This window comes from Homo sapiens, chromosome 14 (assembly GCF_000001405.40).
Source record: "Homo sapiens chromosome 14, GRCh38.p14 Primary Assembly".
NCBI lineage: Eukaryota > Metazoa > Chordata > Mammalia > Primates > Hominidae > Homo > Homo sapiens.
In genome coordinates this window covers 102,674,345-102,689,077 of record NC_000014.9, presented here as the reverse complement: position 1 = coordinate 102,689,077, position 14,733 = coordinate 102,674,345, and the positions used below count along the sequence as shown (strand labels likewise).

Sequence of the window (14,733 nt, the reverse complement as noted above, 5' to 3'; positions counted from 1 at the left end):
TTGAGGTAGGTCTACACGTAAGCACAGTGACAAGAGGGGACTGTCAAAAGTACACTGCGCAGTGCAGTGGTGTCTGCATGAAGGCAAGAGGTGGTATCCTAAAGCTGGTGGGTAGGGCTGAGCAAGGTGGGCATTTAGGGTGCAGATCAACTGGAATGAGGATGGAGTCCCCAAAGGCGGGCAGCCTGGAATGGTATAAACAGGATGTGCAGAGGTAGGGTGTGGAATCCATGCAAAGGGTGGCTGCACAATATCACAGTGGGGACTGAGGAGAGATGATACCGTATCACAGCAACGGAGTGCCTCATAGGGGTTCAACAGAAACGTGTGGAGTAAATGATGGAACAGTGCACCTATACTTAACGGCATTTAATAGTCTTTACAGGCATGTTAAAGGCTGCCTGAACCAGTCACTAAGCCCACAATTCTATGGTCTCCATCTCTTTGGGGCAAGTTAAGATACTCCTGACTTGACTTCCTGAATTTCCATCATGCCGCCTTTTAACAGCACTGACCCGGTTAGGCAATCAACTTCTCTGACTTGGAATTGCATCAACACCTTACTACCACCAATAAACCTCTTCTCTACTCTTCTCTAAACCACAGGACTGTCAAGAGCTTTTCAGTGTAAATCATATCAGTTCTAGCTAAAACTCCGTCAAGAGATCCTCCAAACCTTTAAGAAGCTGGCCTGCCTTTCTAGTTTCATTTCTCTCTGCCCCAGGACAACACTTGTCACAGTCAGGCAAATCTCCAAAATTAAGTGCTGGATTTCCTCTCCACATCTTCACACCTTTAAAAATGAAAATGCTGGCCGGGCGCAGTGGCTCACGCCTATAATTCCAACACTTTGGGAGACCAAGGCAGGAGGATCACCTGAGGTCAGGAGTTCAAGACCAGCCTGGCCAACATGGTAAAACCCTGTCTCTACTAAAAACACACAATTAGCCGGGTGTGGTGGCACACGCATGTAATCCCAGCTACTCGCAGGGCTGAAGCAGGAGAACTGCTTGAACCCAGGAGGCAGAGGTTGCAGTGAGCCAAGATCACGCCACTGTACTCCAGCATGGGCAACAGAGCGAGACCTCTATCTCAAAAAAAAAAAAAAAAAAAGGAAATGCTATCATTTCTTCTGTCTAGTGTGCACTTATGCCCCTGGTCCAGCCAGCAAACTCCTACTCATTCTTCCACATTTCAATCAAATGTCAACCATCTTCAACTCTTTGTTTCTACCTAGGAAAGCTAGCACCTTCTGCTGAGTCCCAACGGGAACATCAGAATACTGACTCAGTGGTACATGGGAGATGCTTGATGTAAAAATCATATGAGTCAACTGTACTCTTCTCCAATAAGTGAACATTTTTCAGTTTCTCAGTCTGCCACCCTCCAGATTACACATGATGGCAGATTGTACTTCATTCACTCCTTTGTTGCTGAAATCTCAAGCCATGGTTTCATCAAGTAATTTTCCATGATCACTTAATATTTAAACTCATTGTTCTAATCTATGTTATTGGGAATTATTTACGCTTCCTCAACATGAAATGTCTCTCTACAGGCCACATTTTCTAGGCATATCCCATAAGTTATATCTCTCATTAAATGGGTTTTACTTAGACACAGCCCAAAAAAACTAGTATAGTATTAATGTTTTAAGCGTTGAATTACAGTTTATTAAATGAAGCAGCCTACAAAGGCAGACAGGTGTGGTAAATATTGTCTGGAGACAAGAGATCTAGCTAAAACTTGGCTACTGTAATAACTGGCTATGGGACCTTAAACACTTGACTTTACTTCTGTAGACCCCAGTGTTTCTACCTCTAAAAAGGAAGAGTTGCCTAGGAAAACTACACATAAATTATTTGCTCACATGTTCATTTTTTCTGTCTCTCCATTACAGTATGAGATTCCTGAACCTTTCACTCCTGGTACATTCCCAGACAAAAAGCTGTTCAATATAAAACGTAAATGAAAACTCAGTAGATAAACACGAATTCCGTATAATCTGAATTGAGATACTTTTGGACAGAACTTGTTACCACAAATCTAAGATTCACCTAAAAGAATAAATATAGAGCCAGGTACACTGAAAAGAATGAAGTCCAGGCACAAAGTATGTATGAGTTTAATGTAAGTGAAGGAAAAAATATAATCCAATAATTTCAGTTGAAACAACGATGTAAAAAAGGAGAAGACGACAGAAGACATCAGTCTGTTTGTAATGTGGGGGTGGGAGAGGGGTTCCTAGCATGACAATACACCAGATAAACTGTGGCATAGCTAGACAACGGTATATTATTCAGCACTAAAAAGAAATGAACTATCCAGCCATGAAAAGAGACAGTGGAACCTTAAATGCATATTGCTAAGTGAAAGAAGCCAATTTGAAAAGGCTACATACTATATGATTCCAGCTGGAAGGCATTCTACAGAAACAGTAAAACGATCAACAGTTGCCAGGGTTTAGGAGGCAGAGAGGGAGATGAACAGGTGGAGCACAGAGGTTTCTTAAACCAGTGAAACGATGATAACTACATTGGTGGACAGGTCATTATACATTTGTCGGAATCCACAGAACATACAACACAAGAGTGAAGCTTAATGTAAACTATGAATTTCGGGTGATAAGAATGTGTCACTGTAGGCTGCTTGATTGTAACAAACGTATCCCTTTGGTGGACTCCAGCGCAGGATGTTCACACTGGGGGAGGGTGTGGGTGTGTGGGGGCAGAAGATAAATGGGCACTCTGTACCTTCTGCTCAATTTAGCTGTGAAGCTAAAATGTCTCTAAAATATAAAATCTATTTTAAACAAGAAAATAAGAAATGTATTAAGGGGCAAAAATCTTCACTATTGCTTTTTTTAAAATGACAGCTTGAGCCCAGGAGTTCAAGGCTGCAGTGAGCTATGACTGTGCCACTGAGCTCCAGCATGGACAACAGAGCCAAGATCCTCTCTTAAAATGTATGTATTTTATTTTACTGATACATATCAGATGTACATATTTCCAGGGTACATGTGATAATTTGATACATTCATATAATCAAATCAGGGTAACTGGGATATCCATAATCCTAAATATTTACATTTTCTCTATATTAGGAACATTCAAAATTATTCTCTTCTAGCCCCCGCCTCCCCGTTTTTTTTTAATAGAGGGGAGATCTATGTTGCCCAGGCTGGTCTTGAACTCCTGAGCTCAAGCATCCTCATCTCTGCCTCCAAGTGCTGGGACTACAGGCACATGCCACGCACCCAGCTAACTTTTGGACTTTTTGAGAGACATGGGGTTTCACCATGTTGCCCAGACTGGTCTCAAACTCTTGAGCTCAAGTGATCAGCTCGCCTCAGCCTCTCAAACTGTTGGGATTACAGGGGTGAGACACCGCACTCAGCCCTCTTCTAGCTATTCTGAAATGTACAATTCAAGGCCAGGTGCAGGGGCCTGCGTGTGTAGTCCCAGCTACTTGGGAAGCTGAGGCAGGAGACTCTCTTGAGCCCAGGAGGTGGAGGTTGCAGTGAGCCAAGATCGCACAACTGCACTCCAGCCTGGGCAATAAGAATAAACCTCTGTCTCAAAAAAAAAAAAAAGAAATGTACAATTCATTAATGTTAAACTAGAGTCATTCTACGGATCAGGTTTTTTAAAAAACAGAGTTTAAAAAAAGAACTAAGATTATAAATATTCATCAATAGGTAATACAGGTAATTTTGTTTAAAAAAAGGCTAAATTATGATACATCCATACTAGTTACAGTAAAAAAAAATTAGATAACTGTAGATATACTGAGATGAAACAAAGTCCCAGATGTACTTATGAGCAGACTGATAACAGTTCACATTTTGTGGAAAACAATTATATATTATGCATTATGTACTATTTGAATTTTCTAAAATAGCATTTATTTTTATAATTACAACATAACTTTATAAGCTTTCAGTAACCCTAAGAGGCAGAACTCTGAACAGCCACTTTGAAAAGAAGAGGAAAAAAAAAACACACACACACACACAAGAAAAGCCAGGGATCTCCAGACATCCTATACACAGTTTTTTAGTATCTGCTAGAAATATGTCCTAAATCACTTATTTCTACTTAATGTCAGAATAAATGCTGGACAACCAAGACTTCCATATTCTTCCAAAACTGAGACACCTAAATTTTCAATAGAGTAATTGTTAAACATACTGACATATCCATGTAATAAAGTATTACACCTAGTTATTTAAAACCTTTATAAGCAGTTTTAACAACGTGGAAACTGCTTAGGTCCGATGCTCAGGAAGACAATACACACATACACACACACAGATAATCTATCATCTCACTTATATAAATACATACAAAAAAAATTGGAAGAAATACCCCAAAATGTTTAACGATTATCACCTCTGGGTGATGGAATAATAGGTGAATTTTTTTTATTCTTTATACTTTTATCTATGAACTTTCAACAATATGTAAATATTACTTTTAGGTAAGTGTTTGTTTTGTTTTTTTCCCAGAGTAGAAATCATTGCTCTTTCCTGATAGAAAATAATGCATTTCTACAAAGCCGTCCTCATCCTGCCTTCTCGCTAGTGGACTTTGTTCACTCTCAGTGCTCCGTGTTTACTCGGTTAATAAATGGAAAGACAGATGTATTCTATAAAGTCAATCCTTTTTTATGCCATCTAAGGAAAACCCCTAGGTCTCATGCACCCCAAGGCCCTTCCACCCTAACAACTCGATTTCCCTGAAAGGTATGTCTGGAAGCCCTTCCGTGACAAAGTAAATAAATCTTGATATTTCTCTTCAATTTTCATAACGTGAACACTACCGATGAGCCCTTGCTTAGTTCATCTGTCTTCCACTGCCTGACACTGACAGGTCATTTCCACGGGTTTGCTATGCAGCCGCTTGAGGTTCAGACTCCGCAGCGGGTTGGGGGCAGGGGTGCTGGGGCCTCCCGTGCGAGTTGGATTCTGGAGGAAGACAAGGAACCTGTTCCTAGCGCTCAGCCGGGTCCTGCGATGGCTGTGGCTGTGACTATGGCCAGGAAAGAGGCAGAGAGGCGGGATACGGTCAGAGCTGCGGGGGCTGGGGCGGAGAGGGCTGCTCCCAGGTCACGGCGCACCCAGGCGCCTCCCCCAGCTGCCAGCCCCACCTCGGCTGCTGCTCCACAGCAGGAGGGTGCAGCCCCAGCCCCCGCAGAGCTAGGGACTGGTGTATGGGGAGCAGGCCGGGTGCCCCGGGATGAACTTGAGGCCCAGCACTGCCAGCTTCCAGCTGTGGGAAGGGCTGGTGGCAAGAGGGACCCGGAAGCAGCACTGGGCCCGAGGGCGGAGATCAAGGGACATCTCCCTAAGCGTGGCCGAGCGCACTGGCTGCCATCTCCAGGTCAGCGGGGGCCACATTCGCGCACGGAACATCAGCGCGCCCCCAGAGGAGAGCTTGGCCCAAAGCATCCTCCGATTCCCAAGAGAAGTTGCCCACATTGCTTGGGACCCCCGGGGAAGCCCCGCTGGTGGAACAGTAGGGGTCAGCACCCCAGGCTGACCAGGGTCTGGGATCGGGGGGACCTGCGCCCAGGTGGCCTCCACGCTGGCGCTGCTCTGGCTTCTTTTCCGTGCTCCACCTCTCCAATTCTGAAACCAAACCTGGACTCGTGGCTCGGGAGTCTGTTTTTCTGGCCGGTTCTTTTCTGACAGTAATTCCAGGACAAGGGTCCGTTTCAAAGGCCTCAGTAAGAATCGTGTATTGATATCTGTCAAATTTGGTCCTCCTATGCCTCTGGCCTGGCTCAAGTGTGTCTCAGCCACAAGCCGAGCTCGCTGTCCACTGGGAGCCTCAGTGGACAGGTTAGTTTTTTTAAAGTTTAAAGTTTTAACCAACTTTAAACTTAAAACGATTGTAATCAGGGCTTACAATAAAACTGTAAATTTATTTTATAGGCAACACCACTGTTTAAAAATCAATTAACTTTACATATTCTGCCCTTTTCTTCTAGGTCTATGAAAAATAAGATAACATTAAAATTAAATTCTGACTCCAAAGACTCCAATAAGCAATACAATAGGAAAAGTGACTAATACAACTTTAAACTGTAATAACAGAAAGATAGTGGCTAACAGGCTAAATGAACACAGCCTGAGAAATAAGTGAGATTATGACCCAGGAGTGAACTACTTGGGGTTCCGCCACTCACTATCTGTGCTACTTTTACAACCCTCTGACTCTTTGAACTATGGGATGCCATCTGTAAAACAGAGAAAAAATCTTCCTCCTGGGTTACTGTGAACACTGAATGATACAGGAGTATGAAAAACATTTTAGTACTGTGCTGGCATAAAGGTTCAAAAAATGCTCAGTATTCTTCATATTCAGTTCTGAGTACAATTTAAGATGGACATTGTGGCCAACTGGAACACACTTAGAAGGACAACAGGAGATGAAAAGAGATCCCCAAAAAAACCATCTGAAAAGGCACCTGAAGCAACTAGCTTGGACTCAGACAGTAAAGGAGATACGATGACTGAACATTTAAAGGACACATATGGAAGCAAACTTATTTAGCAAAGTTCAGGAAAACAAAGCTTTTACAAATTACAGGGAGGCAGATTTTTAGTGCTCTGTAAGAAAGAACATGTTCAAAAATGGAACAGATCACAGGGCGCAGTGGCTCACACCTGTAATCCCAACATTTTGGGAGGCCATGGCAGGCGGATCACCTGAAGTCAGGAGTTTGAGACCAGCCTGGCCAACATGGCAAAACCCCATCTCTACTAAAAATACAAAAATTAGCTGGGTGTGGTAATGGGTGCCTGTAATCCCAGCTATTCAGGAGGCTGGGGCTGGAGAATCACATGAACCCAGGAAGCAGAGATTGCAGTGAGCCCAGATCGTGCTGCTGCACTCCAGCCTGGGCAACAGAGCCAGAATCCATCTCAAAAAATAAAAAATTTTAAAAAAAGAAATATACACTTTAAAACTCTTTAAATTATTTATCTTAAAATAGAAAAGAAATTTAATACATATAGAAGCTTTTACCTTCAAAGGTACCTTTAAAACCTTACATTAAACAAGAAAGGTGGAAAATAAAGTGCTCCAAGACTTACACTTTGCTTCTGACAGATTTTGATTGGGTGACCAGACCAACATGCCAAGATTGTCCCGTTCTTGACTGCGTCTTGCCAGTTTGGCTTGGGAGAAAGAAAAAAGAAAATTCTTATTAAAATTTAACACATATAATAAGCTATAAGTAACAATACCTTTTAATGACATCACCCACCTTTTTACCTGTATCTGGCCCAATGGGCCCCACACTTAACATCAGAGTGAGGATGGAGATGGGGGAGGCGAGAGTCTGCTGAAACATTTCTACTTGCAAGTCCTTTCCTACTTTTACTGATTTTACAGTATGCTGCTCTGCTTTTAGGCATGAGACATCCAAGAAGAAATCCACAGGTGCCAAGGTGCTCAAAGGTTCTTTTAAAATGTTAATTCTTCATGTGTGCTTGCAGCACCCTTACCCTTCTCTGCCTGAGTTACTTTTTAGTGACTTGGCAATAGAAATCCCAAAATTCTTTTAACAGCATTATTAAAGAATAACTATTTAAAAAGTTTAACCTGAAAGGAAACTTCTAAAATGCATACTAATTCTTAAAAATCTGTTTTGCAAAATAGTAGGCCAAAAGGTTTAAAAGTGCCAGGGGTGGAGCTGACATGTATTACTGAATTAACCGCAAGCGGCTGTCATCTATTACAATACACATATCTTCAGAAGGCAAAGACTCGAGAAACAGGAGGTTCAGTGACCATACCTTCACACTGGTTAGGCCCAGACTTATTCATTCTAAAGGTTAATTTTGGCCACTTTTTTTCCTTTAAATAAATTACTCTGAAAATATGATGAAAGTTATGGAACCTAAACTCTAGGGGGAAAAATGCAACTAAATATAACATACAACCTACTATAAACAAAAATCTAGGAAACCCACAGTCTGGTTGACGAATTTCTTCTTTTATGATACCACCAGATCTCCCATCTTTAATTTTGTCTACCAATGTGTTCTAGGTTTCATAAAGAGGAAATTTTACATTTTTAGTAAAATCTGAGAGGCAGTTACTTTAAAGAACCGTAACAGAATAGTGAAAAGGACCCAAAGTGTGAAAAGTATGAATTAGGTAAAATTAAAAGTTGAATTTCTGTTGCAGATGGGAAGAGGATGTAGATGAGAAAGAAATATGACAAAAAAGATGGAGTGACCGCCTTTGAGTTTACCTTCTTTTTTGAGACAGTCTCACTCAGTCACGCAGGCTGGAGTGCAGTGGTGTGATCTTGGCTCCCTGCAACCTCTGCCTCCCAGGCTCAAGCAATTCTCCTGCCTCAGCCTCTTGAGTAGCTGGGACTACAGGTGTGCACCACCACACCCAGCTAATTTTTTATTTTTAGTAGAGACGGGGTTTCATCATATTGGCCAGGCTGGTCTCGAACTCCTGACCTCATGATCTGCCTGCCTTGGCCTCCCAAAGTGCTGGGATTACAGGTGTGAGCCACCACGCCCAGCCCAAGTATACCTTTTTTATAGATATATACATAGTTCTGACTTCAGAACAATGCTAACGCTACAAAGAATCTAAAACAAAAGTCATCAAAGGTATGTGTGGGGAGGGACCCCAAAGGGAATACAAAGACAAATAAGTCCTGCTGTATTTCCAATAAAAGTCTAAAGTAAAACAAAAATAAAGGCATCCACAGTGGAAAGGTACAATCAAAACTGCACGATTATCTGTGTAGAAAATCTACATTTTGTAGAATCTACAAAATGGTACCAGAATAAACAAGTTTAGTAAGGTTGTAGGAAATAATATTAATAGTAAATAGTCAATTCTATTTCTATATACCAGCAATAAAAAAAAAATCAAAAATCAAAATTAAAGATCATTAGCATCAAATATGAAATAACTTAGGGATAAAGTAAGATGTGTACACTGAAAACTACAAAACACTGCTGAGAGAAACTAAAGATGATCTAAGAAGATGAAGAAATAGATCATAGATATAGACTTATTATTAAGAAGGCATTCTTCCCAAACTGCTCTAAAGATTCAATGCAACTCCAATCAAAATTGTAGCACCTTCTTTTGCCGTAATTGATAAATATTCTACAATTCATAAAGAAAGGCAAAGTAAATGAGACAGCCAATGCAATTTTGAAAAAGAGCAAAGTTGGAAGACTTACACTATCTAAATCAAGACTAATTACAAAAAATCAGTAATCAAGAATGTATGGTATTGGCATAAAGACAGAGAAAAGGCCAGGTGCAGTGGCTCACGCCTGTAATCCCAGCACTTTGGGAGGCCGAGGCAGGAGGATCATGAAGTCAGGGGATCAAGACCATCCTGGCTAACATGATGAAACCCCGTCTATACTAAAAATACAAAAAATTAGCCGGGCGTGGTGGCGGGCGCCTGTAGTCCCAGCTACTCGGGAGACTGAGGCAGGAGAATGGCGTGAACGCGAGAGGCGGAGCTTGCAGTGAGCCAAGATTGCACCACTGCACTCCAGCCTGGGTGACAGAGCGAGATTCTGTCTCAAAAAAAAAAAAGAAAAAAAAAGGGAAATAAATGGAATAGAGTCCAAAAACAGAACCACACATACAGGATCAAATGATTTTCCATAAAGGCACGAAGGCAAAATCAAGCCAAAAATAATAATCTTTTCAACAAATGATGCAGGAACAAATGAATATTCACATGCAAAAACAAAACAAACATTTTTTTAAAAAAATTTGGATCCATACCTCAAAATTATCTCAAAACAGATGACAGAACTAAGTGTAAAACTGAAAAATTATAGAATTTCTAAAGAAAAACACATGGAAATCTTTTTGACCTTGGATTGGGAAAGGAGATCTTAGATACAGTACCAAAATCACAATCCACCAAACATTTTTTAATGGTATACTAAAAATAAAATTTAAAAACTTTTGCTCTGCAAAAGGCACTGTTGAGATACACTACGGACTGTAAGAAAATATTTGCATATCGCATATGCAACAAAGGACTTCTATCCAGAATACATAAAGAACTTTCAAAGTCAACAATAAGGAAAATAACACAATTTTTTTAAAATGGCCAAAAGATTTGAACAGTCACTTCGCCAAAGTAGATATAAAGGGGGTATATTAGATGAAAAGATGCTCTACATCATTAGCCATTAGGAAAATGTAAATTAAAGCCATGATGAGAAACCATTATTTACCTGTTAGGCTGTCTAAAATAAAAGGCATCAACACTACAAAGTGCTGACAAGAATGGGAACAACTGAAATTCTCATACACTGCTGGTGTAAATGCAAAATTATAAAGCCATTCTGGGAAAGTTTTGCAGTTTTTTACAAAGACATAATTATATTTACCAAATGACTGATCTAGCAACCCCACTGTTCAGCCATATACCCTACAGAATTAGCATATGTTCACAATAAAACCTGCACACAGGCTGGGAGCAGTGACTCACGCCTGTAATCCCAGCACTTTGGGAGGCTCAGGATCACCTGAGGTCAGGGGTTCGAGACCAGCCTGACCAATACTGTGAAACCCCATCTCCACAAAAATACAAAAATTAGCCAGGTGTGGTGGTGTGTGCCTGCAGACCCAGCTACTCAGGAGGCTGAGGCAGGAGAATGGCTTGAACCCAGGAGGCGGAGCTTGCAGTGAGCCAAGATCGCGCCACTGCACTCCAGCCTGGGCGACAGAGCGAGACACCACCTCAAAACAAACAAACAAAAAAAAGCACCTGCACACATAGGCAGCGTTATTCACAATCATCAAAAACTGTGAAACAGCTCTCCCTCTCCCTCTCCCTCTCGTCTCCCTCTCTCTCCACGGTCTCCTTCCACGGTCTCCCTCTGATGCCGAGCCAAAGCTGGACGGTACTGCTGCCATCTCGGCTCACTGCAACCTCCCTGCCTGATTCTCCTGCCTCAGCCTGCCGAGTGCCTGCGATTGCAGGCGCGCGCCGCCACGCCTGACTGGTTTTCGTTTTTTTTTTTGGTGGAGACGGGGTTTTGCTGTGTTGGCCGGGCTGGTCTCCAGCTCCTAACCGCGAGTGATCCGCCAGCCTCGGCCTCCCGAGGTGCCGGGATTGCAGACGGAGTCTCGTTCACTCAGTGCTCAATGGTGCCCAGGCTGGAGTGCAGTGGCGTGATCTCAGCTCGCTACAACCTCCACCTCCCAGCCGCCTGCCTTGGCCCCCCAAAGTGCCGAGATTGCAGCCTCTGCCCAGCCGCCACCCCGTCTGGGAAGTGAGGAGCGTCTCTGCCTGGCCCCCCATCGTCTGGGATATGAGGAGCCTCTCTGCCTGGCTGCCCAGTCTGGAAAGTGAGGAGCGTCTCTGCCCGGCCGCCATCCCATCTAGGAAGCGAGGAGCGCCTCTTCCCCGCCGCCATCCCATCTAGGAAGTGAGGAGCGTCTCTGCCCGGCCGCCCATCGTCTGAGATGTGGGGAGCACCTCTGCCCCGCCGCCCTGTCTGGGATGTGAGGAGCGCCTCTGCTGGGCCGCAACCCTGTCTGGGAGGTGAGGAGCGTCTCTGCCCGGCCGCCCCGTCTGAGAAGTGAGGAAACCCTCTGCCTGGCAACCGCCCCGTCTGAGAAGTGAGGAGCCCCTCCGTCCGGCAGCCACCCCGTCTGGGAAGTGAGGAGCGTCTCCGCCCGGCAGCCACCCCGTCCGGGAGGGAGGTGGGGGGGGGGTCAGCCCCCTGCCCGGCCAGCCGCCCCGTCCGGGAGGTGAGGGGCTCCTTTGCCCGGCCGCCCCGACTGGGAAGTGAGGAGCCCCTCTGCCCGGCCAGCCACCCCGTCCGGGAGGGGGGAGGGGGGGTCAGCCCCCTGCCCGGCCAGCCGCCCCGTCCGGGAGGGAGGTGGGGGGGGGTCAGCCCCCCGCCCGGCCAGCCGCCCCGTCCGGGAGGTGAGGGGCTCCTCGGCCCGGCCGCCCCTACTGGGAAGTGAGGAGCCCCTCTGCCCGGCCAGCCGCCCCGTCCGGGAGGGAGGTGGGGGGTCAGCCCCCCGCCCGGCCGGCCGCCCCGTCCGGGAGGTGAGGGGCGCCTCTGCCCGGCCGCCCCTACTGGGAAGTGAGGAGCCCCTCTGCCCGGCCAGCCGCCCCGTCCGGGAGGGAGGTGGGGGGGTCAGCCCCCCGCCCGGCCAGCCGCCCCGTCCAGGAGGGAGGTGGGGGGTCAGCCCCTCGCCCGGCCAGCCGCCCCGTCCGGGAGGTGAGGGGCGCCTCTGCCCGGCCGCCCCTACTGGGAAGTGAGGACCCCTCTGCCCGGCCAGCCGCCCCGTCCGGGAGGGAGGTGGGGGGGGTCAGCCCCCCGCCCGGCCAGCCGCCCAGTCCGGGAGGGAGGTGGGGGGTCAGCCCCCCGCCCAGCCAGCCGCCCCGTCCGGGAGGGAGGTGGGGGGATCAGCCCCCCACCTGGCCAGCCGCCCCGTCCGGGAGGTGAGGGGCGCCTCTGCCCGGCCGCCCCTACTGGGAAGTGAGGAGCCCCTCTGCCCGGCCAGCCGCCCCGTCCGGGAGGGAGGTGGGGGGGGGTCGGCCAGCCGCCCTGTCCGGGAGGGAGGTGGGGGGGTCAGCCCCCCGCCCGGCCGGCCGCCCCGTCCGGGAGGTGAGGGGCGCCTCTGCCTGGCCGCCCCTACTGGGAAGTGAGGAGCCCCTCTGCCCGGCCAGCCGCCCCGTCCGGGAGGGTGGTGGGGGGGTCAGCCCCCCGCCCGGCCAGCCGCCCCATCCGGGAGGTGAGGGGCGCTTCTGCCCGGCCGCCCCTACTGGGAAGCGAGGAGCCCCTCTGCCCGGCCACGACCCCGTCTGGGAGGTGTGCCCAGCGGCTCATTGGGGATGGGCCATGATGACAATGGCGGTTTTGTGGAATAGAAAGGCGGGAAGGGTGGGGAAAAAATTGAGAAATCGGATGGTTGCCGGGTCTGTGTGGATAGAAGTAGACATGGGAGACTTTTCATTTTGTTCTGTACTAAGAAAAATTCTTCTGCCTTGGGGAAAAAAAAAAAAAAAAACTGTGAAATATTCAGATGTTTTCAATGCGTAAATGGATAAACCAACTGTAGTACATCCATATACTGGAACAGTACACAGCAACAAAAATAGTGAACTACTAATATATTCAACAACCTAGACCTACTTCCAAAGCATTACAGTGAGTGAAAGAAGCCAGTACAAGTTCATTCATACGACACTCTGAAAAAGGCAAAAGTACAGGGATAATGAATAGATCCAAGGTTTCCAGGGTCTAGAAGTGTGAGGAAGCTTAAGAAAGTCTGAGGTAGCTTTTGGAGGAGCTGGAACTCTTTGGTATCCTAATTGTGGTGGTGGTATATGAAACTCCAGTGGTGCCCCGCATTGGAATTTGCTTTCTGTGATTTCAGTTACCCATGATCAACTGTGGTCTGAAAACATTCAAATGAAAATTCCAGGAATAGTACCTGAATCATCCATTTGTGCACCACATCCCCTCTGTAGGTGCTATGTGCCCATTAGTCACTTGGGTCATCTTAGTTATCAGCTGGACTGTCATAGCATCGCAGCATTTGTGTTCAAGTCCCCTGTATTTTACTTACTAACAGCCCCAAAGTATTGGCGATGTTGGCATATTGTTATAATTGTTCATTTTATTATTTTTTGTTGTTGATCTCTCAGTGTGTCTAACTTATAAATTAATCTTTATCATAGGTATGTATGCATAGGAAGAACCATAGTATATATATAGGGTTCAGTACTACCCACAGTTTCAGGCATCCACCAGAGGTCTTGAAACATACCTTTCATGGATAAGGGAGGAGTATTGTATACATGTCTTAACACTCACAAAAATGTGCACCAAAAATTATTCAGTTTTGCTATATGTAAATCAAAAAATATAAATACAATGAAAATAAAGAAATGTCATTAATTTCTGGGTAGATACTAATATTTGCTGAAGGTGCCAACACAGGCAGGTCTCTTTGTTTAAAGTTGACTTTTTTTTTTTTTTTTTTTTTTTTGAGGTGGAGTCTTGCTCTGTCGCCCAGGCTAGAGTGCAGATCTTGGCTCACTGCAAGCTCCGCCTCCCGGGTTCATGTCATTCTCCTGCCCCAGCCTGTAGCTGGGACTACAGGCGCCTGCCACCACGCCCTGCTAATTTTTTGTATTTTTAGTAGAGACAGGGTTTCACCGTGTTAGCCAGGATGGTCTCATGATCCGCCCGCCTCGGCCTCCCAAAGTGCTGGGATTACAGGCATGAGCCACCGTGCCCGGCCTAAAGTCGATTTTTATCAAGTTTTAAAGACCTTAAAAAATAAGCCCAGACCTATCTGGAATAATTAGGTCTACAAGGAAACTGCAATTACCAGTTGCCATCAAGGGGGTAAGAAAGAAGGTTTATTCACACGGCTAGTAGGGCTGTACAGTGGTTCAACTACTTCAGAGAAAAAAACTGGCAATGTATAGTAAAGTGGACGTGTGGATACCTTGCAAGCCAGCAATTCCATTTCTAGACTACATATATATGCAATGTTTTTCAAATTGCTGGTCAGATCTACTCACATTGAATTTTGGGTTCCTAATCAGCATTTTAAAAAAAAGAATAAGAACAGAAAACATCAGCATATGGTTTCATTAAGTATGTGTATAAACTATTGGTGGAGGTTTTTTAAAGTCTGAAAGTCTCTGGTGCACATGGAAGGACAGTGTGTTGCTTAGTTTTCT

At 45.6% G+C, this 14,733-nt stretch overlaps 1 protein-coding gene across 2 annotated transcripts in view; it reads right to left on the bottom strand.

Moving 5' to 3' along the window:
- Positions 1 to 14,733, bottom strand: part of RCOR1 (REST corepressor 1) — a 137,913-nt gene that overhangs the window by 41,484 nt on the left and 81,696 nt on the right. For both annotated transcript variants that reach the window (NM_015156.4, XM_047431148.1), the window contains exon 3: positions 7,100 to 7,183. In NM_015156.4, coding sequence (NP_055971.2) covers positions 7,100 to 7,183 — 84 coding nt within the window. The remainder of the gene's footprint in view (positions 1 to 7,099; positions 7,184 to 14,733) is intronic.